Source organism: Homo sapiens, chromosome 8 (genome assembly GCF_000001405.40).
Source record: "Homo sapiens chromosome 8, GRCh38.p14 Primary Assembly".
Taxonomy (NCBI): Eukaryota; Metazoa; Chordata; class Mammalia; order Primates; family Hominidae; genus Homo; species Homo sapiens.
In genome coordinates, this window is record NC_000008.11 from 17,966,485 (window position 1) to 17,994,248 (window position 27,764).

Below are 27,764 nucleotides of genomic sequence, written 5' to 3' on the forward strand. Positions count from 1 at the left end.
CTTAGAAGTATTGAGACTGTATAAGAGCTAACATTGAGCAGAGGTTTTACAGTTAGCTTCTGGGAGAAAAGAGCAAGACCAAATTGCATATTTGGACATTCTCTTTCCCTTGAGAATTTTATAAGTGGTGATTTACCTAATGTTTCCTTTTAATACCATGGATTTCTGTTTTTATAAATTTATGTTATTGAATTTTACTTATATTTTGGCAGATTTTATGGTGTGTAAATTGTACCACAGTGAAGCTATAAACAAACAAAAAAGTGATTTTCTTACAGTTTTACCGACTGTCGGACAGAAGTACTAAGTTCATTTCTTGTTCCAGAGGGAAAGTTATTGAATTAAGCCTTATAGAGCAAGCACGTATTTGTTACAGTATCAGAGCAGTTTGTCTGCATGCTTTTGAATCATTTTTTTACATGTATTCTTCCTGAATGTACTTTATATATATGGCAATATAACTGATTCTTAGATTACTGACTTAAATCTTTGTAGGTTGAAACAAATGCTAAATGAACTTATGCGCCAGCAAAATCAGCATCCAGAAAAACCTGGAGGCAAGGAAAGAGGCAGTAGTGCATCGCACCCTCCTTCTCCCAGTTTATTTTGTCCTTTCAGCTTTCCAACACAGCCTGTAAATCTCTTCAATATACCTGGATTTACTAACTTTTCATCATTTGCACCAGGTAGGTGACTTAACCTAAAGAGAAAATAAATAAAAGCAAAGTGTTTGGAACAACGTAATTTGTCTATTGCCTAGATGTTTTAACATTTTCTTTTGGAGTGGGGTAGGAAATGTTTGCAAAGAAAGTTACAAACTCTTTTTTTTTTTTTTCTTTTTGAGGCGGAGTTTTACTCTTCTTGTCCAGGCTGGAATGCAGTGACATGATCTTGGCTCACGGCAGCCTCCACCTCCCAGGTTCAAGGGATTCTCCTGCCTCAGCTTCCTAAGTAGCTGGGATTACAGGCATGTGCCACCGTGCCCAGCTAATTTTGTATTTTTAGTAGAGATGGGGTTTCTCCATGTTGGTCAGGCTGGTCTCCAACTCCCGACCTCAGGTGATCCACCTGCCTTGGCCTCCCATGGTGCTGGGATTACAGGCATGAGCCACCGTGCCCAGCCTACGTTGTTCCTTTTAAACCAAACTTTAATAATACGGTTGCTAATGAAATTAAGTAAACTACTTAGGAATGATTGCTTCAACTATTTATTAAGAGGAAAGAGAACCTGTTCAATGGCTGCTGTATACTAGGCACTGTGTAAAACGCTGGGAGAGTAAAGATGAATAAGACAGTGCTCTCCTAAAGGAGTACCATGTCTTGTTAGGGGGATGCTAATAGACTAAAGGAGAGCACATTTAGCTTAAGCTTTTCTTTGGATGGTTTTTTCTGCACTCATTATGTACCAGACACTATGTAAGTTACTGGGATCTAAAGATGAGTGACACTGATCCTTTAAGGAATTCAGGGTCTAGTGAGGATGCTGTTAATGAATGCTTATAGTACAGTGCCACGGGTGCCATAACAGTAGTGCAAATGCTGGGAAGTGTCAGCAAATCAGTTCCGCCGCCAAAAAAAAAAAAAAGAGTTGATATTTAAGCTAAAGAATGAATAGAATTTATTTCCAGAGAGATTAGAAATGAAAGGGCTTTCTAATAGAACCACTTAGAGTTATAAAGCAATGAAATAGTACATCACTCAGGGAATTTAGAGGTATTTAAGTGTGGCTAGTATTTAGGGGAAGAGTAATTGATGTGGTTGAAGAGTGGCAGAGAGATTTTATGATGTGCAAACAAGCTTAGGTTTTATATTGCAGACGAGGGTGCCATTGAAGGACTTTGAGCAAGGGATAACATGAAATTTATATTTTAGAAAGATTACACTGGTGAAAGTGTTCGGGAGAAGTTGGAGGAAAGGAGTGAAGATTTAGCTGGTGAACAGAAGGCTGTCATAATAATATGGAAAGAATGATAGCTTGGCCTTAGGCCTTGTCAGTAGGGATCAAGAAAAAGGAGTAACTGAAAGACATTATAGTGATAGAGTGAATAAGTTAAGTGACCGATTATATGAGGTGAATCATGAGGAGGAGTTAAAGGTGTTGGCAGGGAATATAGGAGGAGAAAAAAGGTTGAGAGGGCTTTGTGAATATATATATATATAATCACAATATATATGTACTCAATACTTCTTACATACATATATTACAGTGTTATGCCCAGCAATGTGTATATATATGGATGTATATATGTGTGTGTGTGTGTGTGTGTGTGTGTGTGTGTATATATATATATATACACACCACAGTGTTTTTTCTTTATAGGATTTTCAAGACAGTGGCATAAAAAATTTAAGAGACTTTTTAGTTCTTGGGTGTCAATTAATATTGGCAGCAAACATCACATGAGTAGACTTTTAAGTAATAAGAAATTGCAAATGCTCTTCCTTTTTACTAAAATATACTTCATACCCACACCAACTCTATATAAAGGCTCTTCATTCTTCTTAACAGTACAATTTTTGTGAAACCTTCCCAGTCTCTTTCCCCACACGTTGTTAGTAGCCTCTTGCAAATAGCTCTGATACATAACAGTATTTGGTAAGTATTTAATTATATTCTACTTTCCCAATAAAAATAGAGTAGAAACAACATAAGCGTAGGAGTCATACAGACCTGAGATCTAATCATCTTTTTCATTTATTAGACGTTTGATTTCTAACCGTATTTGCTCACTGGTAAAATGAATGCAGTATCTATTTTATAAGTTACTTGGTTTTAAGTATTAAACCAAGTAACATGTAAAGTGCCTGCAGTAGAGTGTGTCACCCAGTAATTGATAAATGTCAGGTACCATTATTTCTAACTTTTAGCTCTTAAGGGAGTGGGGATTATTAATTGTCTTTGACCAATGCCTAAAACATAGTGGCCTAAGCTGTGAACAGTGATTGGATAAATATTAGCTTTTTTTTTTAATTAACAGTTTTTTGTTTTGGTGGATTTGAATGACATGTTTAATTAAAACTGTCTTTTAATTTCATTTTAAAGCTAAAGACATTTATTTATTTTTCTCTTACCCATTGCTTTTACTGATTAGGTATGAATTTCAGCCCTTTATTTCCTTCTAATTTTGGAGATTTTTCTCAGAATATCTCTACACCCAGTGAACAGCAGCAACCCTTAGCCCAGAATTCTTCAGGAAAAACAGAATATATGGCTTTTCCAAAACCTTTTGAAAGCAGTTCCTCTATTGGAGCAGAGAAACCAAGGTACTGATTGTAAACAGTCTTTTATTGCTTAAACATTCACTTTTGTGATTACATCTAATTATGTGTAATTTGAAAACACAACTAGGGAGGACGTTTGTGATGATTTGGCTTGATGATGTTGGAAATATGAAACTTTGACGTATCAGTAGATGAGATGCCAGATACTTCCTGGTAACCCTGGTACATTAAAAGTTGTTTGGAAGGATGTGGCGTAACTCATAGGATTTGTTTTGTCTCTAATTTGATACCTGTCTTTACGGTTAAAGCAGTTTGCTGTTCAATGACTTAGGGCTGGAAACTAATATTAACTGCTAGAAGATAGTTGTTAAGTGATGATCCCTTTTTTTGATTCCTAGCTCTTGATTAGAATCACTTCCTAAAGCCTATTCAAATATAATGTTGAGTACTATTAGATTATAAAAACAACTTTTGTCTCATAAGTTTTGAGGATGCATGGTATTAATGATATTTAGGATTTCTTCTGAAACAGAGTTTTTGACTCAGTGTGAAAGGTTGGCTCCGTTGAACCTAGTCTGTCAGATGTATCTCTCTGATTGTCTTTCCTACTCCATAAAAATATATATAATTCACATTATATTTCTCTTTAGCTATGTGATTAGGAAGGTCTCAGGCTCTTATATTAGCATTTTGACACTGTTTAATTACTGAGTCATTAACTGGGATTTTTTTTTTTTTTTACTCGATTAACCAATAACTCTGAGAATTCCAACTTTGTATTCACCACTAGGAGTGCTATGATTAACATCCGTTACTTTGTTGACTCCTTTTTTTTGGTTGTTCTATCTTTTTCCTGTTAAATCTCATGTTGCTCTATAAAGGTATTCTGTTGTCAGAAGCCTAACACAGTGTTAGTTCACAGTTGCCATTCAGAAATGATTGTTGAATGAATATCCATCACGAGCAGTAAACATTTATTCAAAGCTTCGGTGAATAGACTTTCCTATTAGAATGTCCCTACTTCATTATTTTCATATAATTGATAGTAAAAAATTACTCTGGTTTTAAATTATTTATATCATTTTTAGGATGGATCTGAATGTCTAATATTATTTTAGATATTTGGCCTACTTCAGATTAGACCTCATTTCCCAAAATCTCAACTATTGTAATTTCATGGAATTAAATGACTAGAGATAAAAAGTCAGATAAAATCCTGTAGTCTTATTCAGGGGTCAGAAAACTTTTCCTATAAAAGACTAGATAGTATTTTAGGCCTTGCTGGCCATATAGTGTTTATCATAGCCATTCATCTGTGACAGTTTTGCACAAGAGCAACCATAGGCAATATGTAAACATGAGTATGGCTGTGTTCTGCAATAACACTTTATTTATGGGCACAGAAATTTTATTTTCATATAATTTTCATTTGTCACAAACTTTTAACTTTTTTTCTTCCAACTATTTAAGAATATAAAAGCCATTCTTAGCTCTCAGGTCATATGGAAACAGGCAGCAGGCTGAATTTGGTCTGTAAGTTACAGGTTTCTAACCCTTGTCTTGAGTTAAATCCTGTAGGTCACTGTCTCCCAGACTATTAGGAGCAGTGTTGTTGTTCACGCTAGGTTCTGTGATAAAGTTTTGGACTTGTTGCCCACTACCACTTTTAAGAGATTTATAAAGCACATTGGCATATTAAAAGTTGTGAGATATTTTACAGACCTGTTTAACTTTGTTTTATGTGTTTTCTCCCCAACCTAGACGACCGATGAGTACCTATTAAATATTAAGGGATGCTAGTGTTCAGCAGATAAAATTTGAGAAATGACAGTAGACTAATAGAACTACGGACTTAAGGAGTGGAGAAATAAATTGCTAATTGAATGACCAATTGTATTCACCAAATTCTTGTTCTACTTGAACTGCTTTAGGTGAACACAAATCCATGTATGTTCCCAAGCCCTCTGCTATAGCTCTTTTTGAGCCATTCTTCCAACTTTTGGGTCTTGTATATCCCATCCTCCCTTGATTTTTCTTTTTGTTGTTTTTTCTAGAGGCAGGGTCTCACTTTGTTACCCAGGCAGGAGTACAGTTGATAACGATCATAGCTCACTGCCTCCTTGAATTCCTGGGCTCAAGGGATCCTCCTGCCTCAGCCCCCTGAGTGTCTAGGACTGGAGGCACATGCCACTGTGCCTGGCTCATTTTTAAAATTTTTTTTAGAGACGGGGTCTCACCAACTTGTCTGGGCTGGTCTTGAACTCCTGGGCTCAAGCATTCCTCCTGCCTCCGCCTTCCAAAGTGCTGGAGTTACAGGCATGAGCCACTGCAGCTAGCCTGATTTTTCTTTCCCACTGTTTTCCATTGCTAATGCTAGATCTTTGATAAGGAACTTTTGCCAGTAAAAGTGGTTTAGTGAGATGGGTCCAGAATTAAAACTAATTTACTACCTTAGCTTATGTGATATTTGCATATTTAATGTGTATTTTTGTGAAAACATTTTTATAGCCTGTTGACAATTTTATTCACCTAAATCTACTCGAGTAGACTATAAATTCAGTGTATTTGGAGTTTTTGTAAACTATAGTTGTTAACTTATAAAAACTTGTTTTCATTGGTAAGGAATAAAAAACTGCCTGAAGAGGAGGTGGAAAGCAGTAGGACACCATGGTTATATGAACAAGAAGGTGAAGTAGAGAAACCATTTATCAAGACTGGATTTTCAGTGTCTGTAGAAAAATCTACAAGTAGTAACCGCAAAAATCAATTAGATACAAACGGAAGAAGACGCCAGTTTGATGAAGAATCACTGGAAAGCTTTAGCAGTATGCCTGATCCAGTAGATCCAACAACAGTGACTAAAACATTCAAGACAAGAAAAGCGTCTGCACAGGCCAGCCTGGCATCTAAAGATAAAACTCCCAAGTCAAAAAGTAAGAAGAGGAATTCTACTCAGCTGAAAAGCAGAGTTAAAAACATCAGTAAGTGTTGAAATTTGTTGAATGTTGATCAGTGTAAATTTTGGTAATCTTACTTTGACATGTTGACATAGATATAGTTTCAGTAAGGCTAGATGTGCAGGTGCTGTTCTAGACTTAGTTGAACAGTCATTTTTAGTTACCTTTATATATATAATTTTTTTTTACAAAATAATATTCGAAATAGGGTTTAATTTTCTGGATTAATGTTGTAAAACATGGCATTTATTTTTTGTACTTCTTAAAGCTTCAGTTTTGTAGATTATTGAAAAATTGCCAAATGCCCACGTTTACTATTTTTTTTCTTTTGCTATTGTATCAGATCCTGCATCCAACTCTTTGGTCATGACTTTTAGATGGATTCTTGATTGATTAGTTTAAAGAATAGTGGGCTTCTAAATACATTGCAGTTTTTGAATATCATATGATAAAACCAGTTTTAAAACAGGCTGGCTTAAGTCCTTCTGGAAGTAAACTCATATTTTACTCAGTCTTGCCATTGAATGTCATATTAAAGTTGTTTAAAAAATTTTTTTAAAATTTTCTTTATGGTGTTAGTCATACCTCTTACAAAAATAGGTTTTCTGTGATTTTTGAATTATTTACTGAAGTGTAGTACTAGGTTAAAAATAGTTTCATTAGCTAAAATCTGCAGTGTTACAGCTGAAGGATATTCTTTTTATGTTTGCAAAGGATGGGCTATGGCCTTGAAAGGTTGTTCTGAGTTTAAGGAGATAGTATTTGGTGCCTAAGGCTAGTTGCGGTGGCTCATGCCTGTAATCCCAGCACTTTGGGAGGCTGAGGCAGGTGGATCACCTGAGAGCAGGAGTTTGAGACCAGCCTGACCAACATGGTGAAACCCCATCTCTACTAAAAGTACAAAAATTAGCCGGGCATGGTGGGCGTGCCTGTAATCCAGCTACTAAGGAGGCTGAGACACAAGAATCGCTTGAACCTGGGAGGCAGAGGTTGCAGTGAGCCAACATCATGCCACTGTACTCCCAGCCTGCGTGACAGAGCAAGTCTCTGTCAGAAAAAAAAAAAAAAAATTGGTGTTTAAGAACAAAGTATTCTAGGCTTATAATCAGGAAAGTTTGAAATGCATTGCACACTGCTAACTCCCTTTCTTGGAAGTTCACAACACATACAAGTATAGTAAATGCCCTGAGAAATCCTGTAGTAAGAAAATACACTTGTAAACTTTGGCAACCTTCATCTTAATCACTTTTGGATAATGAAACCTTAGAAAAATCTAATGAAAACCACAGATACAAGAGAATATTGGCACATTTTTAAAAATTTCAGTAATTCATCTATCCTTGAAGTCCTTGGCTCCTACCTTGAACCCCATGTGAAGAATCTGACGGATGGTTTAAAAAGCAAGTTTGAACAGGAGTGAAAGAGGTGACATTTTTCTTAGCATACACATTATCAGCCTTGAAGTAATTTTCTGGTTATAAAGGTTTAGGAGAAGCTGGTTTATTTAGTAAATTAATTGGTAATCTGAAGCTATTCAGAAAGTTACTGCGCTTTTCCAAGATTACTGTTGGTGCTACCAGAGAAGATTTAAGTAGATAATGGCCATTTAGAGACAGGGCCGTTAGGCAACTCAGAACTTTCTATTTCCTAGTGCTTTGCCCTCACAGAGATGCTCTTTGTCATATAAATAAATGAAGAAAAGCTGACATTTTAAATTTCAGCATTGTCTCATTCAGATAGTTAATTTGAATCTGATAGGGCAATACTTCATAAACTTGAGTTTCACATGAATCTCCTTAGGAATACAGTTTTAAGTGCAGATTCTGATTCATTTGACTTGGAAGGGACTTGAGAGTCTGCCTTCCTAACAGACTCTCTTGTGTTGCCAGTATTGGTCTGTGGACTACACTTCAAGTAGCAGATTTTACAGGAACCTTAGCTAATTTATGGCTATGACCACCTAACCCTAGAAATATTGGTATGTTTTAATTTTTCTGAAACCCCTTTATTCTCGGGAATTACTTTTCCAAATATATAATTCAGCCTTTTAACTTCAAGACAAAGATTGACATTCTGATCTTTGTGCTCTTGTCCTTCATATTGAAGTATAAAAATACCTGCTGTTTGAAATGTACAGTCACATTTGCTCAACAAGCATTCAAGACCATCTGTCAGTGAGTGCCCCACTTTAAGGCACACACACACACACACACACACACACACACACACAAATAAAAGGCTTGATAGCAGAATCAAACTATACATAGCAGAGCCGAAGTAATATGGGGTAAAATCAAATTAGCTCAATCCTTGCTATTCAAACTCTGAACTGTGGACAAGCAGCATTACATCATCTGGGATATTATTAGAAATGCGTGCTTTTGGGCCTCACCTTATGCCAACTAAATCAGTATGTATTTTTCTTCAGTATGCATTTTGGCAAGATTTTTGGTATGAAGATATGTACGTGAAAGTCTGAAAAGTACTGAACTAGAACACTGGTTTATGTGGTTTTTGTTCCTTTTGTGCTATAGGAATGGTCAAGATTTGTTAGAAAAAAGGATTTTTACTGTATCTTTAACCTCCACCTCCCGGGTTCAAACAATTCTCCTGTCTCATCCTCCCGAGTAGCTGGGATTACAGGCATGTGCCACCACACCCGGCTAATTTTGTATTTTTAGTAGAGACGGGGTTTCTCCACGTTGGTCAGGCTAGTCTTGAACTCCCGATCTCAGGTGATCCACCCCCATTGGCCTCCGGAAGTGGTGGGATTACAGGTGTGAGCCACAGCGCCCGACCAATTTTTATTATATCTTAAAGGAAGTGGTAAATAGAGGTGGGTGGGGAAAAGTTTAGAAAGCCTTTCAAATTGTTACTACAGTAAGAAAAGTATAGAGTGGGGAACAAGCAGGATGAGAGGAATTGGGAACGGATATGACAGATATTTCAGCATAGTGGGAATTACACTGCTGTCTTGAGAGATATGGTACAGCCAGTTATACTGTCCCATACTTACTAGACTGATCCAAATATATATGTGTTTTTTGTGCATGTTGACATTCTTTCAGAAGTAGCTTGATAAATCTCATATAACTTTGTTTCCCATGATGGTAATGTGTTTTAATCCTTAGAAGGTCTTTATATATGAAAATAGATATTGCATATGAGGTAAGAATATATAAATTATGTAATAATCGTATTTTAAACTTGAGTTCAGACTTAGACCTTATGAGTTGAAGGTGATTTCCTGCCTTACTGAGTTTTTCTGTTATCAGACCTATAATTTGTTTACACTATACTCTTCTGATATTATTAGTAGTAGCCAAGATTTTCTTCACTCTTTTCTTGGAAAATTGGATAGAACTGTTAAGGTACAGCCTTCTGGGTTCTTACTGTCCTTGAATCTTTTCATTTCTTCCTTCCTCCCTTTCCTGTTGCACACTAATGAAGATGGACATGAAATGGACGTGAAACATTAGGCAAGGCAAGGCCTGACAGATTTGGCTGGTAAACAACTAGTCAACTTTTTGAATTTAGACAGTTATTAATTACTTAGGCAGAGAAAAAAGTAGTCCAAGGTGCCATTTCTCTGTGCCCCTTGTCTCACACTTGAAAAGAGTGACACCGAAATAAAAGGGGCTAGCTAACGATTGTCCCTTGAATGGTGGGACACCCTGTTGCTGAGGAATCATTGTTATACTGCAGCTAAGCCTGTTTAGTCTGCAAATGTACCCTACAAGGTTGAGGAAGAAAGGTCTCATGTTTCATTAGAACCTGAGAGGAGATGGGAAACTCTCCTGACAGAAGCATCCTGGGGCAAGAGAGAGGTGAGTGGAAAACGTCCATCCATATAGCAACTTCTCACAAGCCTCTCTTGTCCATGTTCCAGGATGATTCCATGGCCTTCTGCCAAGACAGCTTGCACTGTGATTCAGACCTTAACCTCTCTGCGCTCTTTGGACATGTGCAAGGTCTCCAGAGTGCCATGGCTGATCTCTTTCCCTTCAGTGGAGGCTCAAGTAGAAGTACTGTTTCTTCTACTAATGTCACCCCCTCATGCTGAGAAAAACAGAATGAGAAAGGGAAAGAGTGGTGAAGTGGCATAGGCGATAACATCCTTATCTCTCATCAGTCACACATTAGTACCTTAACTTTGGAAATCTAGCCTTTGATGTTTTTAATTTGGGACTCATATATAAAACCAGTTTTTTTTTTTTCTCTTTTCGTAGCATCTTAATAATTATAGCCTACTTCTCTTCACAGTTTCAGCTATTTTGGAGGATGACTGTATGTATTCCTTTTTAAAGTACCTATTGGGACTCCCCACTGAGAATTTCGTATATGCCACATTAAGTGCATTTTAATTTTGATTAAAATTTATTCATCACTTTTCATGTGATACAGTAACAGCATTTAAATGTTTAATTTCACTTATATAAATGTTCATGTTAGAATAACATACTTAAAATCTTTTTCTTTAGATCATTGTATGTTATTAAATGAGCAATAGTACTACCAGTCATGTCATTTTACATATTGCTTTTGGCACTCATACTCTTTATTGCTGGTTTTATATTAAGATCAATAATAATCAAGAGGTCTCTCTTTTCAGTAAATTTCATGCAGACTCGGTGGCAGAGGCTAAACTTTAGTTTGAGAGACCAGTGAAAAAACCTGGAACCTAAAGTTGAGATGATGAAGTCTTACATAATGGCCTTGGAAATAGAGAGGGAGGGCTGAATCTAGATGGGATATCACAGATAATAAATTGACAATATTTGGGAAAATTATTTGTTGTTAGTAGACCTGTGCGGTGATCTGGAAGATGCAAGCAAGGCTTTAGGGTCTGCTGGCTTTTTCCTAGAGTGTCAGGAGCATGGTCAGATCTCCATGATTCTTGGAGAAAGCTATGTTGGAGGAGATCCTTGCAATTCCTCCTGTTATTAACCCTTCCCCTTACCCCCAAGAGTAGCAGTGTTTTGCTACTGCAAGCTACTAGTTGGCAGAAAGGTTATTGAGTAAGTAGGTGGCAGTCTTCCTTAACCCTGTACATGGGAGAGCATTAGTCTTTGCAGCTGAAGAGACTAAGCAGTAGAGAAGATTCCTCTCATTGTCTTGATGAGGGACTGACAGCTTGCTAGCGAAAATGTTGCTTGACCACAGGAATGAGACTTCCATGCACCCTCATCTTGCCATTATTAAAGCTATCCAGCATTTGGGTCCAGCCTTAAGAGAAGGTGAGAGTCATGACTAGGCCAGTGAATATAACAGTGCATATAAAAGGGACCTAGTTACCAGGGAGAAAACAGAAGTAGACCACTGAAAGAGGCAAAACCTAGTGAAAATAGAATTATTGAACAAAATATTGAACAAATACACTTGAACAAAATAATAAGGGCACATAAGCAGATTGAATTATAACAAATTCTTTAGAGCTAGAAAAAAATGACATTAAGTTTTAATGTTTAGATTATTTAAAAAAGAGGACACGTGCTATTAAGTTCCAAATTACAGGCCTAGAAAATCAGGGGGAAGAATTATGTCATTAAATGGAATGAAAGTACTAACAGATAAAATCAAGAGAAGACGATTAGAGACTTACAAGAAGTTCTGAAGGGGAAAATAAAAAACCAGGTGGACAAGCAATAACTAAATAATAGATGGGATGAAGAAAGACTTGAGACTGCAGATCAGAACAGCTGGCTGTTGTCTAGCCAGGAGAGAAGTGAGGGAAACACACAAACACCTATGCAGAGTCTGGCAAAATCCCTGAATTCCAAGGAAAAAGTAAAAATCCTCTAAGCTTCCATATGAAAGACCAAGTTGCATACAAAGAAAAAGAACCAAACCGACACCAGGCAATCTTCCTTACCACACAAGCAGAAGTAGAAAAAAGTGGAATGACGCTACACAGTTGACAAAGAACTGCAACTCAGGAACCTTGTACTCAGCCAAAGGACCCTCCACATGTCAGAATGAAAAGGAGATACTAGTTTATCCTATCTGAGGAAAACTAAAGAAACAACCTGTGAATCAAAATAGAGACCTTTATACAGGGGAAGATAAAGAAGACAGAGAACAGTTTAATAAAGAAAACAGTAGATCAGTCTCACTAATATAAATTCAAAAGTAAAAATAAAATATTAGCAAATTGAATCTGCCATTGTATCAAAAGAATTCTAGACTATCAACACTAGAGTTTATTTCAGACATGTAATGATGATTTGTTACCAGGAAATCTGTCAACATAATTTATTCTATCAAAGGGACAAATAATCATAGAAGCTATTCTCATGAGAATTTGAAGTAAAATGGGTATAAGAAGGCAGTTATGCCTGTAATCCCAGCACTTTGGGAGGGCGAGGCAGTTGGATTGCTTGAGCCTGGTAGGTGGAGTTTGCAATGAGCCAAGACTGTGTCACTGTACTTGAGCCTGGGCAACAGAATGAGACTCAGTCTCAAAAGAAAAGAAAAAAAAAAAAAAAGCAGTTATTTGAGTGTAATAAAGACTGTTAGCCAGTGTACATCATTGTAAATGAAAGTACTCCAGAGATATTTCTATCTCAGTTAGGAACTAAACAGGGATTCCTTCTGTCCCACCATCATTATTTACCATTATTTGGGAAGCATTAGGTCAAATAATTGGAATTATAATGGTAGTAAATATTGGAAAAGGAAGGAAGCAAGTTTTATGTGTTCTTTTCTAGTGGCATTTTTGTATACTAAGAAAGCCCAAGAGATACTGGAAAGTAGCTCCTAGAGTTACAAGGTAAACTGTTAAAGTGGCTGGTTATGGAATAAGTGTGTGAATATTTTTCTCTGTTGTAATATCCAGTAGCATGAAAGTGGAGAGGAACGCTCTTCTCATAGTAGTACTCTAAGTGTTTGAGTGGGGGGTATGAAATGTAAGGAACAAATTTAACAAGGAAAGTACTAGGTCTATAAAAAGCTATAAAGTATTTTTGAAGAACATCAGAAAGATTGAACAAATATAAAAACATAACCATGTTCTTAAGATGGAAAAGATGGAAATGCATAAGATTATTAAATACCATTTCTCCTGAGATTAATACATACTTTTAATTTGATTCCATTTTGAGTCCCCAGAGATTGTTTTTAAAATTAAAAACAAAAAACAACAAAGCTTATGTGGAAGGACAGATGCCCAAGAATAGTCAAGAAAAAAGTGAAGCTAGTGGGACTTGCCTTAGCAGATATTTGATCATCCTGTATAACTTGTGTTTCTAAATGAATAAAAATGGCATTGGAATAGCTAAGTTGAACACATAAATGTCCAAAAGTAAAACCCCAAATATTGGAATTTAATATATTGACCGATGTGTATTTTAATTCAGTGGAAAGAGGGTAGGTATAGCCACCTATCCATGTGGAACAAAAAAAAAAAAGGAATTTCTACCTTGTATATATACCAAAATATTTTAAAAACTTGAAAATTTTATAGAATATATGTATAACCTATCAGTGGGTAAGACCTTTTAAACCAAGTCATGTCACATAAAAGATAACAATAAGAAAGGCAAATGTATTTGACTACTCTCCCTCTATAATGGATATTTGTATATATCGGATGTGATTCTTATGTCTCCTAATATTAAAAATTGCTAACTTGGAATTCTAGTAGAGATTTGGGGTCATGTAAGGTCTGCCATATACTTCGAATTGGAATATACTCATTAAGATGAGTATCAAAGAACAGTGAAGGTTAGATTTATTACTGTTAGCTCATGCTTCCAAAGGGTATTGCAAAGATACCTCCAAGACATATTTACTGTTTTGTATTCTATTTATACCAGGCCTTCCTAGCATTGTAAATTGAGTTACCTGTACTGTTACACAATGGAAACCGATTTCCCTTTTAGTTTGAGTTAGTTGCAACTGATAACAGTTGTCACTTTTTTTACTCAAGGGTATGAAAGTGCCAGTATGTCTAGCACATGTGAACCTTGCAAAAGTAGGAACAGACATTCAGCCCAGACTGAAGAGCCTGTTCAAGCAAAAGTATTCAGCAGAAAGAATCATGAGCAACTGGAAAAAATAATAAAATGTAATAGGTCTACAGAAATATCTTCAGGTATGTTCTTTTTTGGTTTGCATTAATATAAGGAGGTTTTCAGCTTAGATTTGAAAAGCTATAATAAAGCAGGTGTTAAAATTGGTGTTTCACACGTATCTATCATGTGGAAGGTTTTATAGTGGAAATTATAGTACACATTCCTTGATACTGAAAAATAAAAACTGAAAATATTTTGTGTTATACTATTTAATAGTTTTGGACACATTTTAATAAAATTCTAAACAAAGGATAGTTACAATTGTGGAACTCTTCAAATTCTGAAAATCTTATCTGATTAAGAATTAGATATGAAATCATGTCATCTCCTGCTTCAATCCTTTGGCTTACTGTGCCTACAGGATAAAGTCTGAATGCCTTCATGGAACGTACATGGCCATCAGGGATTTGGTTCCTTCCTGCCTCTCCAGACTCATTTCTCAACACACTCTGCCTTGAACTTTTTTCTTTCTGTGGCACTGAACTGGAGTTTTTGTATAGCTATCACATTCTTTCTTACCTTGGTAGCTGTTTTTCTATCTCAAGTCCTTTCTGCCTTTTTTGTAAGTTCGTTTCTCTGCTGGACTCTTAATACAATTTTAATTCTGAAACTCCATTCTAATCCAAGCTAGGATAGTTTCCCCTTTCTCCTGTTTTCCTTGTAGCTTGTGTAAACCTATTTTGTTGCCTTAATCACATTATTATAGTATTTCCCTGTTTGTCACTTTTTTGAGTCCCTTGGCAGCAGATAAAAGCACCAGTAGTTTCCTAATTTGTAAAGAGCATCTCAAAGAAATATGGAGAGAGAGAGGCAATAACATGACATTAGACTATAGTGGATAGACCTTAATCTAGTAGCTTTCATTGACATTAGTATAAAATGCATGCGTTTTTTGTTTAAAAATGATAACAGCAGCTATCTTTTGTACCATGCTCCATTATTTTCAAATTACCAACAAATCTCATTTGAGCCTCATAATGCTGAGTTGGTTTTATTTCCATTTTTCGGAGGAAACATGGTCAAAGAGGGAACTTTTTTTTGTTTTGTTTTTCAGTACTCATAAAGGCTCAGTAATGTAAACTGGTACAACTTTCCTGGAAAGCTTCAGAAGTCATGCCCTTAATCCAGTAATTGTACTTGTAGTAATCCATCCTAAGAAGACAAAAGGGGAAAAAAAAAAAAGACATTAAGATTTAGTGTTGTCTCAACAGTATGGTTTCAACTATGTATAAACAAAAATTTGAAAGCAAAAAGGCCGGAAGAAAATGCATCAAAATGTTAATAGTGGTTTTATCATCTTTAAACTCATAATGAGCATTTATCATTTTGTAATCAGAAAAGAAACATCACATTTGTTTGCATTTTGAAATGAATTTCTCAAGCTTACATTGCTAGGAAATGGTAAAGCTGAACTTAGAAGCTGGGCTTCTGTTAAGTCTGTGTTCCTTTCTGCAAAAATATCAATCCTATTCTTCTGAACCCAGAATTTTACTAAAATTTTATAATTTTCATCTCCTTTTACTCTCTACCAAATAGTGATATCTTCAAAAAATAAACAGTCCGGTAGAGGTCGAAGAAGGACACTAAACTGAAAGTCTTAATAAACTGAGTATCAATTACTTAAATAATAATTGGACATAGTACTTCAGGCCCTATTACTGTTACTTAGTGAAATATAATGATTGAATTTTGGTGAATTAAAAAATGTTTGAATATATAAATATACACAAGTTTACATATTTACATTCTGAAAAGATTAAAAAAAAAATTTTTTTTTGAGACCGAGTCTCGCTCTGTCATCCAGGCTGGAGTGCAGTGGTGCGACCTCGGCTCACTGCAACCTCTGCCTCCCGGGTTCGAGCGATTCTCCTGCCTCAGCCCACTGAGTAGCTGGGACTACAGGTGCGTGCCACCACGCCCGGCTAATTTTTTGTATTTTTAGTAGAGACAGGGTTTCACTGTGTTAGCCAGGATGGTCTCAATCTCCTGACCTCGTGATCCGCCCGCCTCGGCCTCCCAAAGTGCTGGGATTGCAGGCATGAGCCACCATGCCCAGCCCTGAAAAGATTTATTTTTAGTTTTAATCATTACCCTAAAATTCCTTATAGCATGTAAGGCATGTTACTTTTTGTAACTGTACTCATAACATATGATTATTAGAGTATAGCATAATAGGACTGCTAGTATTAAATTACGCAGTCTTCTTCTCCCGTGGGTGTTGTGGGAGGTTCACCTTGATGTGTATGCTTCTAAAAATGAATGATAGAAGTTTATTATGATAGTCATCATCGGTCGCCTTAATATACGTTTATAGCAAACCTTTTGAGATTTTTTTTCTTGAGATTATTTTTAAGTAGAGCGTAAGCCTTAGTTCAGGCAAACAATTTTAAAGAAATTCGCTTATTTCTTTTTTTCATTCACTTATTCATGTTATAGACCCTGTCTTTACTACTCATACACATTTTATGTTCATCCTTATGTCTGCCCTTTCCTACAGCACATGCTAGGAGAATACTACAGCAGTCTAACAGAAATGCATGCAATGAAGCGCCAGGTAACAATCTGCGTAGTTTTGGTGTCCACTTTTTGTTAATTTTTTCCCATTGGTCCTAAAGGTTTTATTGTCCTGATTTTTTTCTTTTTTAAATTTAGCTGAGAGTATATATGTTATGTGACTATTGTAAAAGATAATTTATATTCATAAAATTCTGAACCCATTCATTTATAATTCTTGGTAAAATTTGCTGCTTTTGTTTTCATATTCTGTTAGTGTATGTAACCTAACACATTCATAAGGGTAACAGAAACCTTTTTTACGGTTTAGTACTTGATTTGAGGTTATTTTGTACTTCTTCAAAGCATTAGTATTTCTTAGACCTAGAAATATAGTTACTTTTATAGTTTATCTTTCCATTTCAGTCAGCATCTTAGAAAAGTCATCAAACAAAACAATGATTACATGCAAAGACGTGATAAATAAAGATCATGGAAATTACAAAGATTCCCAAATACTATTTTAGTCTCTAATATAAGTATTCTCATTAAATGTGGTTCTTTGTGATTTAGAGTTGTAAATATTTTTTTAACTCCTCTTGCAGCTTTACATGAATGAAAAGTAAAAGCCAGTTTGAATGGAACCTTTAGGGGAATCTAAAGATACAAAACAAGGATCCAGAACTGACAAAGCTGAATATATCAGTGGCACTTTGAAAATAAGGAACTCTGAAAATAGGATATAAAAACAAGATGGAATTAGAGAAACCTGATTAAGATTAGGGATTTTTCCAGCCAAAGCTAATAAATTTCAGTTCAGGAGGAGAAACTGGCATAAACTTTCCACCTCTTGACTGCAGAAGTGGTGGGGGAATGAAGCTTGTGTTTAAATGGCATATTCATTATTTGAGAATAATTTAATTTTTAATGATACGCAATTTAGATTGATAATTTTATCACATACAGAGGTATTAAATATGTCATTAAACAGTTATAGCTTTGAAATGAATTTTTTAAATTAAGTATGATTAAACTGCAATATAGTATATAAGATAAAAGTTTGCATATCAAAATTCTTTTTACCTGGATTTTTCCCATTAGAAGAGATTGCTTACAGAGATAATTTTGGTTCCTGCTTATTATAATAAGTGTCATTTTTGTGATAGTTCATACCTTAAAACTACGAGAACTTTAGTGTATCACTTGATTTTATACCTGTAACTGAGGCAAAATAGGGAAGTTGCATATTTATTGTTACATATAATTAATATATTTTTCTATTGATATCTTATATTAGTAATGTTATTATTTCATGCTTGTGGAAATTGAGACCTGAAGATATTAAATTATTAGCCAAGTAGTGGAAAATTTTTCTATTAGAGCACATTCTTTTTCCATTTTCTTATTCCTCTCACAAAAATGAGTTTTTATGATCTTGTATACTTCTTTGAAAGCGCAATGTATTAAGATACTCAACATTTTAAATGGATACCTTTGAGTGTAATAATTTTGTGTTATCAACAAGTAAATTTAGCCGAATTGTAGCTAAATAATAGAGTGATGCCTAGATTCTGTGAAACTGAAAACTTCAGTTGGATCACTTGCCTGCTCCAATATACACTGAGTATGTAAATAAGACACAATGGTGAAATTGACCTATTATGTTAGGTTACAGATTTGGTTACTCATCATCACAGCACTTTTCTGTGTGATGTATGAGATTTGATAATTAGTAGACTATACTGGATAGACCTTAATCTAGTAGCTTTCATTGGCAGCATTCAGTTTATTCTTTTTAACATTAACAAAATATACAAACTTCCTTTTCTGTAATGAAGTCCATATTAGCAAAAGCAAAAAAGAAATTAGCACTTAGCTTATTTCTAAGTGTTGAAAGATTTTCACTGATTTTTCCTATAAAATGTATAATATTTTCTGTATATTTTATATGATCAGAAATAAACATGGTTCTTAGTAATGCTAGGTAATGTTATTCATTAAAGTTTCATTTTTAGTATAAAATGCATATCTTGATATTTTAAGATTTTATTTATCTTGGTAATATTAAGCTTCTTTTCTACTTTAAAAGCTCTGAAATAGAATTGTCTAAAATAGAATTTTTAGATAATTTAAAGCTGAGAGTAATGATACTAGCTAATAAAAGTTGTCATGAAGGTACTTCATCAATATTAACTTTCTGGTCTTTTATGTATTCCAGAAACTGGGAGTGATTTTTCCATGTTTGAAGCTTTGCGAGATACTATTTATTCTGAAGTAGCTACATTAATTTCTCAAAATGAATCTCGTCCACATTTTCTTATTGAACTCTTCCATGAGCTGCAGCTACTAAACACAGACTACTTGAGACAGAGGGCTTTATATGCATTGCAGGTATCTGGTACCTAACATAATTTTTCCTACCCTATTATCACCTTCTTCATGATTATCTCTGGTTGCTGTCTTAGACTGAAGCATGTGCCATATGAATTTTCATCTGTTCTCTATGTGCTTTCTTGACATTTTATTTAAAATTTTTGTATAGCTTAAGTAGCATTAAAGTATTTTTTTTGAGTACTTTTTCAGTGTTTTGTCTACTTCCTCACACTTAACCTGTGAGGGTAGAAACAGTACATTTTTCCTTCCATCTGCTTTTATTTTTGAATCTGTAATATAAATGAATGATTAAGCATGTATGTTTTATATAAATGATGATCTTATTTTCTTATTTAGGACATAGTATCCAGACATATTTCTGAGAGCCATGAAAAAGGAGAAAATGTAAAGTCAGTAAACTCTGGTACTTGGATAGCATCAAACTCAGAACTTACTCCTAGTGAGAGCCTTGCTACTACTGATGATGTAAGCTGATAATGATTAGTGAATTGTAGATATAATTTTAGTATGCAGTAAATAAAAGTTAAATAGATTATTGTCAAATTGTAGGTAGACCTAATATATTTGATTTTCAGCTTTTTTTAAAACTTGGGTATAATGTGTTATTTTATTTTGAGGGCGAGATATAATATGCAATCAAAATATGGTAGCAAACACCAAAAATTATGTATGTATGATAGATTATGAGGTCTGAGATAGCCATATTTATGTTGTTATTACCCAGTATAGGGGCTGACTCTTAAAAGACATTTACAAATGTATGTTGTATTTATTTAAGACATTCAGTAAAACAGGTATCAGATTACAGTAAAAACACTTGAATGAATAAATACAGGATAAATCAGGTCTTTGGGTTAAAAAAAAAAAAAAAAGCCTAGACAAAAGTCTTCCAGGAAAAAAATTGTAATTTAATGTATTCTAATTCATGGAGAAAATTTTGAATAGAGTAAAAAGGACCTGGAAATGGAGAAGAGTGCTAAGGAGAATGGTATAAATTCAGTAAGCTGTGTCCTCCAAATAGCACTTAGCACATCGTTGATTGAATAACAGTGACAGAACTGCTAGTATATTGAGGAGATAATGTGCTAGGTGTTTGGGAATCACCTATTTCAAGGTTCAGGCCTTGATTTTATTGTAAAATATTTCATGTGGTCGTGGGATAGCAAATACATTCCTTTTTTTATGACAACTCTAGCACCTAGAGATACATGGGTAAGAGTTTCGTAGTTGATTAGCAAATATCAGCTATAGGTAGAGAGTTGGAATTTACTGTTTCTGCCTTTTGTTGAAGTGTTAATACTAAGTTTTTTCTGAAGCCAGTGTTTTCTCAAAGGATTGTCTTTCCTTTTCAGATACAGTAATTTCTGAGTTTTTCTGAATTTTTGCTCTTTAACTTCTACTCGTGTTTAAAATAATAACTTCCCCAGCTCATCTTTTCTGTTTAAAATGTTTTCCCACTGGACTCTGACTCCTTTAGTACTATAACATAAACCTGTGTCTAAAAACTACATGGTTTTAATTAACTTTGCAATGTGAAATGTAAATTAGTGTCAGTCAGTGTTTGCTCCTTTGGATTGTTATAACTAATTGAAAATTGTGTATTCCTTTTTGTGGGAAATGAAATGCGACCTGCTTGAATACATTAAAAATAGATGTTAAATTATATTAAGGTTTATTGGGCACTGAAACAACTTGAGAGAGAATGAACAGTCTCCATTCCTAGACGTATTTTTCAATAATTTTATATCCTTAATTCCAGTGCTTTCACTTTTATCCAAGTTTCATACAGGCAGCATTACTTCCATTTATTTTAAGAGATTGGAGCACATTGGTTTGCACCATCGATAGCACATTTTGAAAGTTGAGCTACAGTTTAGGATAAAGTTAACCTAAGAAGGTTTTAAAGTTAAATGAAATTTAAAGATGCTGTACTACTTGATACGTAAGGACTTGGGATAGTAATTGTATTTAGTATTACTTTTAATTAAGTAACTAAATCAGTTCTTTGATATTTCTTCCAAAACTTAAATTCAGCATTAAGGTCAACATCTTCCCTTTACTAATGCCATTTAATCAGCAGCACCACAATATCCAGTGTTGATACTCACAGATCTGAAGCAGCAGTGTCCAGTAGAACTTTCTATAGTGATGGAATTGTTTTATGTCTGCATTGTCTAATGCTGTAGCCATTAGCTACATGTGGCTAGCAAGTACTTGAAGTATAGCTATTGTAACTGAGGAACTAAATTTTAAATTTTATTTAAATAGCCATATGGTGTTTTTTGTATTGGACAGATTCAGAGCCTCATTCTCTAGATGCTTCTATGCTTCTTGAGCTTCATTTTTGGAGCTTTTACAAACGTATATTAAGATGTGTAAGAGATACCTCTCTTGCCTAGGGAAGAGAGAAATGAAAGTGAAACTGGGAATCTGGGAGCTGTAAGTCAAGGAGGATGGAGTGGAGACACTGAGGTTTAGGAAGAAGAAAACACACTTTGTGTCTCCTGCTCCCGATGATAATAAAATGGTAAAAGCACATCTGTCTTGAAGACTTGAAGCACATCAAGTCTTACTTGAAACAGTAAAAAAAATGGTTTCCCTATTCCTAAAATACGTTCCTTAATGTCTAAATTTCCTTTAATCAGGGACAAATGTTTGATTTCATAATTGAAGATAGGAAACTTTAAAAAGATCATTAGTTAAGGGAAAGAACACAACTGTAAAATGTCATAATCAAAGTGTAAGTGAGACACCCTACCACCATCACACTATACACAAAATTAATTTGAAATGACCTAAAGTCGTGTAAAAGCCAACACTATTAAAACTTTTAAAAGAAAATGGGAAAAAATTATGACCTTGACATAGGCTAAGTTTTCTTAGGACAGAGAAAGCACTAACTATAAAAGAAAAAATTAAGAAATTAGACTTAACAAAAATAGGAATTTTCTGCTTTTCAAAAGATACTGTTATGGGAAAATAATCCCAGTATATATATCTGACAACTGTCTGATATATAGACTGTATAAAGCTTACAACTCAGTTGTAAGACAACTCAGTAAAAACTGGGCAAGAGATTTGAACAGGCACTTAATGAAAGAAGATATATGAATGGCTAATATGCAAATTAAAGCCACAGAAAATACCACTTCACATCAAGAATGGCTAAAATGAAAAGATTGACAATAAGAAGTGTTGGTGAGAATGTGGAACAGTTGGAACTCTCACAGTCCTTATGAGAATGTAAAATTGCACAACCACTTGGAAAGCAGTTTGGCAGTTGCTTATAAACATAAACGTGGCATGTGACCCAGCAATTTCTCTTCTAGGTATTCATCCAAGAGAAATGAAAATATGCATCACAAAAACACTTGCACATTAATGTTCATAGCATCTTTAGTCATGATAGCCTCAAACTGAAGCATCAAGAGATAAATGGATAAACAAACTGTGGTATATCTATACAGTGGAATACTGTGCAGCCATTAAAAAATAATTTCTGAACTTCTGAAACACAAAACATGGATTCATTTCAGAAACATACTAAGTGAAAAGTCAGACAATGAAGAGTGTATATTGGCTGGTTCCATTTGTATGAAGTTCTACAACCAGCAGAACTGATCTACAGTGATAGAAATCATGAGTAGGGTGTGGTGGAGATTGACTGTAGAGGGTTGTGAAGAAACGTCCTGGGCCAGTGGAAATGGTCTTTATCTTTAGGGAATCTGGTTACATGAGTGTATACATTTGTCAAAACTCATCAAACTGTACATTTAAAGTGAGTGCATTGTATATTAATTATATTTCAATAAAGTTTATTTTTTAAAAATGCAAATGATGTTGTGATGTTTTCTTTTCTGATGTGAGACAACCAGGTAGAGTAAGCTACTAGACATTGTTAGCATTTGGAGATAGGAGAATGTCCCTGAGAGTATAGAAATAATGTAAAATGTTAACTTTGCCAAATTAGAATTTAATCAGTAGCTGTCTTTGTGTGTGTTTATCTACATAATAAATATTCTGCAAGGCTACTTATATCACTGTTCTCTGTGACTCTGTATTCAGCGTTTAATAACTTTGGTTATATTATCATCTTGTTTGGACAGAATACTGAGGAAACTTATGAATATCTTTTAAGTGTACAATTTTATGTAAATACTTAGTTATCTCTGTTAGATTATTAATATGAAATTCTTAGAAGTATTAGTGATTTTTGTTTGTTTTACTGTAACTTAGGAAACTTTTGAGAAGAACTTTGAAAGAGAAACCCATAAAATAAGTGAGCAAAATGATGCTGATAATGCTAGTGTCCTGTCTGTATCATCAAATTTTGAGCCTTTTGCAACAGATGATCTAGGTAAGCAGAATTGTTTATAATCTTAGAAACAACTTTAAGTTGATCTGGTCCAGTCTTTGAATTGGCGTTGATAAGGAAACAAGTCTAGAAAGGCGAAGTGTGTGTGGTTGAAAGAATGTGGACTTAATTATCTATCAGTCTAAAATCAAGAATCTTCTGACTCTTAACCCTGTGAGCAAATCATCCAACATTTTTGACTCTGCATATACTAAGGAAATGGGAATTTTAACCTACCTTGCTATGTTCTTGTGAAAATATAATGTAACTTACTTGCTTGAGTTCAGAAAATGTTAATTTCCTTTTCCTTAAAGGAAAGGTCATCGTTTAAGGTCATCTAGTTAATTCATGGGAACAATTCAGGCCTCATCTAATCATATTTTTAATAAAAATATTAACTTTGTAATTTGAGTTAAGCAGTCAGTTTTCTTAAATAACCTGTAGTGAAAACCTCAAGTAATTCTCAGGCATAGCAAATGGTTTTGGTTGTTTTTTTTTGTTTGTTTGGGTTTTTTTTTTTTTCCCCCTCTCCCATCAGCTGTAAAACAAAAGAGGTTTAGAGGGTTGCCTGGCTGCAGTGGAGAAAAAATTCGAGTCCTAGACTTGGAAAGGAAATTTAAGGAAAAGAAAAATATGTAGATACTTGATACGTTTCTAGACTGTGGCCAATCAAAAGAGAACCTGAGAATTCAGTCATTTGCCATCCAGGGTGCTTAGTTGATAAAATAATGTAATGTCCTGTTACTCTAGTGTTTGTTCACGTGATGAAGAGAAGACTTAGATTATTTCAAAGGTATTTTTCCACTATAAAGAAAAGGACTTAGCCTTGCCCTATCATTACATTCCTACTGTTCGCCAAAACAAAAGTCTTCCTTTTGCTTATTGTAATTATTGAGGACTCAGCCTTAGCTGACCTCTAAGTAAATGCTTATTTGGGTCTGCATTGAGTTCATCCCATTACAGAGAAAAATTACTGTGTGGCCTGCCAACCCTCACCCCTTAGGTTGTCCCTCTCTTTCTGAGTTGCCAGAATACTTCGACTCCTACGTATTTTCTTTCATTTACTGGTATTTTTTTTTTTTTCTTACAAACCTGCACCAGTAGCTGTGTCTGAAGTAGACATAGAATTGGGAAATTTCATTGATAGGCCTTTTTCTTACCTAATTTGCTTGTTTTAGGTTGCGTTGTTTTCATCAGAATTTGCATGACATTTTGGAATTCACTTGTATTGTTTAAATGAAACAACAAAATGAAATAAATATGGGCTTCAGAGTTTGATAACTAAGTTTAAATCCTTGTTCCTACATTGAACTGTCTGTGAAAGCTTGAGCAAGTTACTTAAATTTTCTGCAAATGAAAGTAATGTCATCTACTATATAGGATTATTTTAAGGATTAAATAAGTGTGACAATGTATATGAAGTGCTCAAGTAGTATAGTGTGTAGAACTTGTTAAAGCTAATTTTCCTCCCTTTTGTTTGGACATTTTTTTATTAATGCATTTTGAGGAATATATGAAAAAGTTCACTTTTACATACTCAAAAAATATTTTTGTTCCAAATGTAGGTAACACCGTGATTCACTTAGATCAAGCATTAGCCAGAATGAGAGAATATGAGCGTATGAAGACTGAGGCTGAAAGTAACTCAAATATGAGATGCACCTGCAGGATTATTGAGGATGGAGATGGTGCTGGTGCAGGTACTACAGTTAATAATTTAGAAGGTATATATTTTTGTTTTCGGTAGGTTTTTGGAGAACAGGTGGTGTTTGGTTACATGAATAAGTTCTTTAGTGGTGATTTCTGAGATTTTGGTGCACCCATCGCCTGAGCAGTATACACTGTACCCAGTGTGTATTGTTTGATCCCTCACCCCCTTCCCACCCTTTCCCCTGAAACCCCAAAGTCCACTGTATCCTGCTTATGTCTTTGCATACTCATAGCTTAGCTACCACTTATGAGTGAGAACATGCAACGTTTGGTTTTCCATTCCTAAGTTACATCACTTAGATTAACGGTCTCCAACTCTACCCAGATGGCTGCAAATGCCATTACTTTGTTCCTTTTTATGGCTAAGTAGTATGCTGTGGTGTATAAATAAATAAACAAATATATCTGTCTATCTACACATATATACATATACCACATTTTCTTTATCCGCTCGTTGATTGATGGACATTTGGACTGGTTCCATATTTTGCAACTGCAGATTGTGCTGCTATAAACATGCACGTGCAAGTATCTTTTTCATATAATGACTTCTTTTCTTCTGGGCAGATACCTAGTAGTGAGATTGTTGGATCAAATGGTGGATCTACTTTCAGTTGTTTAAGGAATCTTCATACTGTTTTCCATAGTGGTTGTACTAGTTAGTTTACATGCCCACCAGCAGTGTAAAATTGTTCCCTTTTTACCACATCCACACTAACATCTATTATTTTTTGATTTTTAAATTACGGCCATTCTTGCAGGAGTAGGATGGTATCACATTGTAGTTTGTGCTTTGATTTGCATTTTCCTGATAATTAGTGATGTTAGAGCATTTTTTCACTCAACATCACCAAAAAGTTTTTTGGCCATTTGTGTGTCTTCTTTTGAGAGGAGTTGTCTATATCCTTAGCCTACTACTACTACTTTTTTTTTTTTTTTTTTTTAATTTGAGCACAGTCTTGCTCTGTTGCCCAGGCTGCAATGCAGTGGCACAATCTCAGCTCACTGCATCCTCTGCCTGCCAGGCTCAAGTGATTCTCATGCCTCAGCCTCCCGAGTAGCAGGCATTGTAGGCATGTGCCACCATGTCCAGCTAAGTTTTGTATTTTTAGTAGAGATGGGATTTCAGCATATTGTCCAGGCTGGCCTTGAACTCCTGGTCTCAAGTGATCTGCCCACCTCAGCCTCCCAATGTGCTGGGATTACAACTGTGAGACACCACACTTGGCCTTAGCCCACTTTTTGATGGTTTTTTTTTTTTTTTTTTCCTGATTTGTTTGAGTTCTTTGTAGATTCTGGGTATTAGTCCTTTGTCAGATGCGTAGTTTACAAAGACTTTCTCACACTCTGTGGGTTGTCTGTTTACTCAGATGATTATTTCTTTTGCCGTGCAGAAACTTTTTAGTTTAAGTTCCATCTGTTTATCTTTGTTTTTGTTGCATTTGCTTTTGGGTTCTTGGTCATGAAGTCTTTGCCTAAGCCAGTGTCTATAAGGGTGTCTCCAATGTTATCTTCTAGAATTTTTGTGGTTTCAGGTATTAGATTTTGAAGGTATATTTTTTATTGATTACAAGTAATAATAATTCTATGTAAAAAATTTAAATATGTGATATCTAATGGTGGTTTTATTACTACTTTATTTTAATTGATAGGGGTGCTTAAACTACAAACATGTTTCTTTGTATTATGTTAGCATAAAATCATCAAATTTAATATTTTTCAAATTTCAACATAAAGGCATATATGTATATATAATAGGCTTTGTTAGGCTAATGTATTTTCTTTTTAAAAATTAGAAACTCCCGTTATTGAAAATCGTAGTTCACAACAACCTGTAAGTGAAGTTTCTACCATCCCATGTCCTAGAATTGATACTCAGCAGCTGGACCGGCAAATTAAAGCAATTATGAAAGAAGTCATTCCTTTTTTGAAGGTAAGCAATTATTTTAAAAAATAAACGAAACCTTCTATGTTTTGTTTTTTAATTCATACAGAAGACCTTATTGTGATAAAGTTCAACGGTATAGGTAAACAACAACAAAAAAACTATCACCCATAATTTTTTCACCCTACCAACATTCTCTGAACCTTTCAGTAATATTTTATACACATGTGCATATTCTGCCTTTTTCATTTACTATATCATAAACTTCTTTCTAGATCATTATTTTTCTGCTGCATTTTTTCAGGATTTATCACCTTTATTTTTAGTTTTAGTTTTTGTGAGTGTATAGTAGGTGTGTATATTTATGGGGTACATGAAATAGTTTGATACAGGCATGCAATATGTAATAATCACATCATGGTAAATGGGGTATCCATCCCCTCAAGCATTTAACCTTTGTGTTACAAACAATCCAGTTATACTCTTTTAGTTATTTTAAAATGTATAATTAAATTATTGACTGTAGTCACCCTGTTGTGCTGTTAAATAATAGATCTTATTCATTCATTCTGACTACTTTTTGTACCCATTAACCATCTTCCCTATTCCCTACTACCTTTCATAGCCTCTGGTAACCATCCTTATACAGTTTATCTCCATGAGTTAAATTGTTTTAA

At 34.7% G+C, this 27,764-nt stretch overlaps 1 protein-coding gene across 31 annotated transcripts in view; it reads left to right on the top strand.

Annotated features, from left to right (window-relative positions):
- Positions 1-27,764, top strand: part of PCM1 (pericentriolar material 1) — a 106,961-nt gene that overhangs the window by 43,497 nt on the left and 35,700 nt on the right. For 9 of the 31 annotated variants that reach the window (NR_148032.2, NM_001352645.2, NM_001352642.2 and 6 more), the window contains 8 exons: positions 496-686; positions 3,093-3,264; positions 5,845-6,203; positions 18,963-19,135; positions 19,475-19,603; positions 23,375-23,495; positions 25,058-25,216; positions 26,999-27,135. Coding sequence is in view for 30 of the 31 variants with exons in the window: in NM_001352645.2 (NP_001339574.2) it covers positions 496-686; positions 3,093-3,264; positions 5,845-6,203; positions 18,963-19,135; positions 19,475-19,603; positions 23,375-23,495; positions 25,058-25,216; positions 26,999-27,135 (1,441 nt within the window). In the remaining variant the exon portion in view is untranslated. Of the gene's footprint in view, positions 1-495; positions 687-3,092; positions 3,265-5,844; positions 6,204-14,085; positions 14,272-18,962; positions 19,136-19,474; positions 19,604-22,467; positions 23,101-23,374; positions 23,496-25,057; positions 25,217-26,998; positions 27,136-27,764 lie in introns of those variants that run through there. The other 22 variants (NM_001352650.2, NM_001352653.2, NM_001352632.2 and 19 more) reach the window with 6 other exon arrangements.